Raw genomic sequence first — 6,140 nt, forward strand, 5'->3', positions numbered from 1 at the left:
TTGGCTCAGAGAGTTGTTTTTTCACTGATGTCTTTTATTTATTATTATTTTTTCTTTTTTTTATTATTATTATACTTTAAGTTTTAGGGTACATGTGCACATTGTGCAGGTTAGTTACATATGTATACATGTGCCATGCTGGTGCGCTGTACCCACTAACGTGTCATCTAGCATTAGGTATATCTCCCAATGCTATCCCTCCCCCATCCCCCCACCCCACCACAGTCCCCAGAGTGTGATATTCCCCTTCCTGTGTCCATGTGATCTCATTGTTCAATTCCCACCTATGAGTGAGAATATGCGGTGTTTGGTTTTTTGTTCTTGCGATAGTTTACTGAGAATGATGGTTTCCAATTTCATCCATGTCCCTACAAAGGACATGAACTCATCATTTTTTATGGCTGCATAGTATTCCATGGTGTATATGTGCCACATTTTCTTAATCCAGTCTATCATTGTTGGACATTTGGGTTGGTTCCAAGTCTTTGCTATTGTGAATAATGCCACAATAAACATACGTGTGCATGTGTCTTTATAGCAGCATGATTTATAGTCATTTGGGTATATACCCAGTAATGGGATGGCTGGGTCAAATGGTATTTCTAGTTCTAGATCCCTGAGGAATCGCCACACTGACTTCCACAATGGTTGAACTAGTTTACAGTCCCACCAACAGTGTAAAAGTGTTCCTATTTCTCCACATCCTCTCCAGCACCTGTTGTTTCCTGACTTTTTAATGATCGCCATTCTAACTGGTGTGAGATGATATCTCATAGTGGTTTTGATTTGCATTTCTCTGATGGCCAGTGATGATGAGCATTTTTTCATGTGTTTTTTGGCTGCATAAATGTCTTCTTTTGAGAAGTGTCTGTTCATGTCCTTCGCCCACTTTTTGATGGGGTTGTTTGTTTTTTTCTTGTAAATTTGTTTGAGTTCATTGTAGATTCTGGATATTAGCCCTTTGTCAGATGAGTAGGTTGCGAAAATTTTCTCCCATGTTGTAGGTTGCCTGTTCACTCTGATGGTAGTTTCTTTTGCTGTGCAGAAGCTCTTTAGTTTAATTAGATCCCATTTGTCAATTTTGGCTTTTGTTGCCATTGCTTTTGGTGTTTTGGACATGAAGTCCTTGCCCACGCCTATGTCCTGAATGGTAATGCCTAGGTTTTCTTCTAGGGTTTTTATGGTTTTAGGTCTAACGTTTAAATCTTTAATCCATCTTGAATTGATTTTTGTATAAGGTGTAAGGAAGGGATCCAGTTTCAGCTTTCTACATATGGCTAGCCAGTTTTCCCAGCACCATTGATTAAATAGGGAATCCTTTCCCCATTGCTTGTTTTTCTCAGGTTTGTCAAAGATCAGATAGTTGTAGATATGCGGCATTATTTCTGAGGGCTCTGTTCTGTTCCATTGATCTATATCTCTGTTTTGGTACCAGTACCATGCTGTTTTGGTTACTGTAGCCTTGTAGTATAGTTTGAAGTCAGGTAGTGTGATGCCTCCAGCTTTGCTCTTTTGGCTTAGGATTGACTTGGCGATGCGGGCTCTTTTTTGGTTCCATATGAACTTTAAAGTAGTTTTTTCCAATTCTGTGAAGAAAGTCATTGGTAGCTTGATGGGGATGGCATTGAATCTGTAAATTACCTTGGGTAGTATGGCCATTTTCACGATATTGATTCTTCCTACCCATGAGCATGGAATGTTCTTCCATTTGTTTGTATCCTCTTTTATTTCCTTGAGCAGTGGTTTGTAGTTCTCCTTGAAGAGGTCCTTCACATCCCTTGTAAGTTGGATTCCTAGGTATTTTATTCTCTTTGAAGCAATTGTGAATGGGAGTTCACTCATGATTTGGCTCTCTGTTTGTCTGTTGTTAGTGTATAAGAATGCTTGTGATTTTTGTACATTGATTTTGTATCCTGAGACTTTGCTGAAGTTGCTTATCAGCTTAAGGAGATTTTGGGCTGAGACGATGGGGTTTTCTAGATAAACAATCATGTCGTCTGCAAACAGGGACAATTTGACTTCCTCTTTTCCTAATTGAATGCCCTTTATTTCCTTCTCCTTCCTGATTGCCCTGGCCAGAACTTCCAACACTATGTTGAATAGGAGTGGTGAGAGAGGGCATCCCTGTCTTGTGCCAGTTTTCAAAGGGAGTGCTTCCAGTTTTTGCCCATTCAGTATGATATTGGCTGTGGGTTTGTCATAGATAGCTCTTATTATTTTGAAATACGTCCCATCAATACCTAATTTATTGAGAGTTTTTAGCATGAAGGGTTGTTGAATTTTGTCAAAGGCTTTTTCTGCATCTATTGAGATAATCATGTGGTTTTTGTCTTTGGCTCTGTTTATATGCTGGATTACAGTTATTGATTTGCGTATATTGAACCAGCCTTGCATCCCAGGGATGAAGCCCACTTGATCATGGTGGATAAGCTTTTTGATGTGCTGCTGGATTCAGTTTGCCAGTATTTTATTGAGGATTTTTGCATCAATGTTCATCAAGGATATTGGTCTAAAATTCTCTTTTTTGGTTGTGTCTCTGCCCGGCTTTGGTATCAGAATGATGCTGGCCTCATAAAATGAGTTAGGGAGGATTCCCTCTTTTTCTATTGATTGGAATAGTTTCAGAAGGAATGGTACCAACTCCTCCTTGTACCTCTGGTAGAATTCAGCTGTGAATCCATCTGGTCCTGGACTCTTTTTGGTTGGTAAACTATTGATTATTGCCACAATTTCAGATCCTGTTATTGGTCTATTCAGAGATTCAACTTCTTCCTGGTTTAGTCTTGGGAGAGTGTATGTGTCGAGGAATGTATCCATTTCTTCTAGATTTTCTAGTTTATTTGCGTAGAGGTGTTTGTAGTATTCTCTGATGGTAGTTTGTATTTCTGTGGGATCGGTGGTGATATCCCCTTTATCATTTTCTAATGTGTCTATTTGATTCTTCTCTCTTTTTTTCTTTATTAGTCTTGCTAGCGGTCTATCAATTTTGTTGATCCTTTCAAAAAACCAGCTCCTGGATTCATTGATTTTTTGAAGGGTTTTTTGTGTCTCTATTTCCTTCAGTTCTGCTCTGATTTTAGTTATTTCTTGCCTTCTGCTAGCTTTTGAATGTGTTTGCTCTTGCTTTTCTAGTTCTTTTAATTGTGATGTTAGGGTGTCAATTTTGGATCTTTCCTGCTTTCTCTTGTAGGCATTTAGTGCTATAAATTTCCCTCTACACACTGCTTTGAATGCGTCCCAGAGATTCTGGTATGTGGTGTCTTTGTTCTTGTTGGTTTCAAAGAACATCTTTATTTCTGCCTTCATTTCGTTATGTACCCAGTAGTCATTCAGGAGCAGGTTGTTCAGTTTCCATGTAGTTGAGCGGCTTTGAGTGAGATTCTTAATCCTGAGTTCTAGTTTGATTGCACTGTGGTCTGAGAGATAGTTTGTTATAATTTCTGTTCTTTTACATTTGCTGAGGAGAGCTTTACTTCCAACTATGTGGTCAATTTTGGAATAGGTGTGGTGTGGTGTTGAAAAAAATGTATATTCTGTTGATTTGGGGTGGAGAGTTCTGTAGATGTCTATTAGGTCCGCTTGGTGCAGAGCTGAGTTCAATTCCTGGGTATCCTTGTTGACTTTCTGTCTCGTTGATCTGTCTAATGTTGACAGTGGGGTGTTAAAGTCTCCCATTATTAATGTGTGGGAGTCTAAGTCTCTTTGTAGGTCACTCAGGACTTGCTTTATGAATCTGGGTGCTCCTGTATTCGGTGCATAAATATTTAGGCTAGTTAGCTCCTCTTGTTGAATTGATCCCTTTACCATTATGTAATGGCCTTCTTTGTCTCTTTTGATCTTTGTTGGTTTAAAGTCTGTTTTATCAGAGACTAGGATTGCAACCCCTGCCTTTTTTTGTTTTCCATTGGCTTGGTAGATCTTCCTCCATCCTTTTATTTTGAGCCTATGTGTGTCTCTGCATATGAGATGGGTTTCCTGAATACAGCTCACTGATGGGTCTTGACTCTTTATCCAACTTGCCAGTCTGTGTCTTTTAATTGCAGAATTTAGTCCATTTATATTTAAAGTTAATATTGTTATGTGTGAATTTGATCCTGTCATTATGATGTTAGCTGGTGATTTTGCTCGTTAGTTGATGCAGTTTCTTCCTAGTCTCGATGGTTTTTACATTTTGGCATGATTTTGCAGCGGCTGGTACCGGTTGTTCCTTTCCATGTTTAGCGCTTCCTTCAGGAGCTCTTTTAGGGCAGGCCTGGTGGTGACAAAATCTCTCAGCATTTGCTTGTCTATAAAGTATTTTATTTCTCCTTCACTTATGAAGCTTAGTTTGGCTGGATATGAAATTCTGGGTTGAAAATTCTTTTCTTTAAGAATGTTGAATATTGGCCCCCACTCTCTTCTGGCTTGTAGGGTTTCTGCCGAGAGATCCGCTGTTAGTCTGATGGGCTTTCCTTTGAGGGTAACCCGACTTTTCTCTCTGGCTGCCCTTAACATTTTTTCCTTCATTTCAACTTTGGTGAATCTGACAATTATGTGTCTTGGAGTTGCTCTTCTCGAGGAGTATCTTTGTGGCGTTCTCTGTATTTCCTGAATCTGAATGTTGGCCTGCCTTGCTAGATTGGGGAAGTTCTCCTGGATAATATCCTGCAGAGTGTTTTCCAACTTGGTTCCATTCTCCACATCACTTTCAGGTACACCAATCAGACGTAGATTTGGTCTTTTCACATAGTCCCATATTTCTTGGAGGCTTTGCTCATTTCTTTTTATTCTTTTTTCTCTAAACTTCCCTTCTCGCTTCATTTCATTCATTTCATCTTCCATTGCTGATACCCTTTCTTCCAGTTGATCGCATCGGCTCCTGAGGCTTCTGCATTCTTCATGTAGTTCTCGAGCCTTGGTTTTCAGCTCCATCAGCTCCTTTAAGCACTTCTCTGTATTGGTTATTCTAGTTATACATTCTTCTAAATGTTTTTCAAAGTTTTCAACTTCTTTGCCTTTGGTTTGAATGTCCTCCCATAGCTCAGAGTAATTTGATTCTCTGAAGCCTTCTTCTCTCAGCTCGTCAAAATCATTCTCCATCCAGCTTTGTTCCGTTGCTGGTGAGGAACTGCGTTCCTTTGGAGGAGGAGAGGCGCTCTGCGTTTTAGAGTTTCCAGTTTTTCTATTCTGTTTTTTCCCCATCTTTGTGGTTTTATCTACTTTTGGTCTTTGATGATGGTGATGTACAGATGGGTTTTCGATGTAGATGTCCTTTCTGGTTGTTAGTTTTCCTTCTAACAGACAGGACCCTCAGCTGCAGGTCTGTTGGAATACCCTGCCGTGTGAGGTGTCAGTGTGCCCCTGCTGGGGGGTGCCTCCCATTTAGGCTGCTCGGGGGTCAGGGGTCAGGGACCCACTTGAGGAGGCAGTCTGCCTGTTCTCAGATCTCCAGCTGCGTGCTGGGAGAACCACTGCTCTCTTCAAAGCTGTCAGACAGGGACACTTAAGTCTGCAGAGGTTACTGCTGTCTTTTTGTTTTTCTGTGCCCTGCCCCTAGAGGTGGAGCCTACAGAGGCAGGCAGGCCTCCTTGAGCTGTGGTGGGCTCCACCCAGTTCGAGCTTCCCGGCTGCTTTGTTTACCTAAGCAAGCCTGGGCAATGGCGGGCGCCCCTCCCCCAGCCTCGTTGCCGCCTTGCAGTTTGATCTCAGACTGCTGTGCTAGCAATCAGCGAGATTCCGTGGGCGTAGGACCCTCTCAGCCAGGTGTGGGATATAGTCTCGTGGTGCGCCGTTTTTTAAGCCGGTCTGAAAAGCGCAATATTCGGGTGGGAGTGACCCGATTTTCCAGGTGCGTTCGTCACCCCTTTCTTTGACTCGGAAAGGGAACTCCCTGACCCCTTGCGCTTCCCAGGTGAGGCAATGCCTCGCCCTGCTTCGGCTCGCGCACAGTGCGCGCACACACTGGCCTGCGCCCACTGTCTGGCACTCCCTAGTGAGATGAACCCGGTACCTCAGATGGAAATGCAGAAATCACCCGTCTTCTGCGTCGCTCACGCTGGGAGCTGTAGACTGGAGCTGTTCCTATTCGGCCATCTTGGCTCCTCCCCCACTGATGTCTTTTAATGAAGATAATTTATTTGTTTTAATATTTTATTTGTAAT

The 6,140-nt window shown here is 41.8% G+C and overlaps 1 annotated feature.

The window, feature by feature from the left end:
* Positions 5,221-5,825: an enhancer, noted in NCBI's record as "H3K27ac-H3K4me1 hESC enhancer chr3:26431392-26431996 (GRCh37/hg19 assembly coordinates)". NCBI's record gives its function as "activates a minimal SCP1, AML or CMV promoter by ChIP-STARR-seq in primed H9 embryonic stem cells {active_cell/tissue: H9 hESC(primed)}" and the evidence as "EXISTENCE:reporter gene assay evidence [ECO:0000049][PMID:30033119]".

Source organism: Homo sapiens, chromosome 3 (assembly GCF_000001405.40).
Source record: "Homo sapiens chromosome 3, GRCh38.p14 Primary Assembly".
NCBI classification, from domain to species: Eukaryota; Metazoa; Chordata; class Mammalia; order Primates; family Hominidae; genus Homo; species Homo sapiens.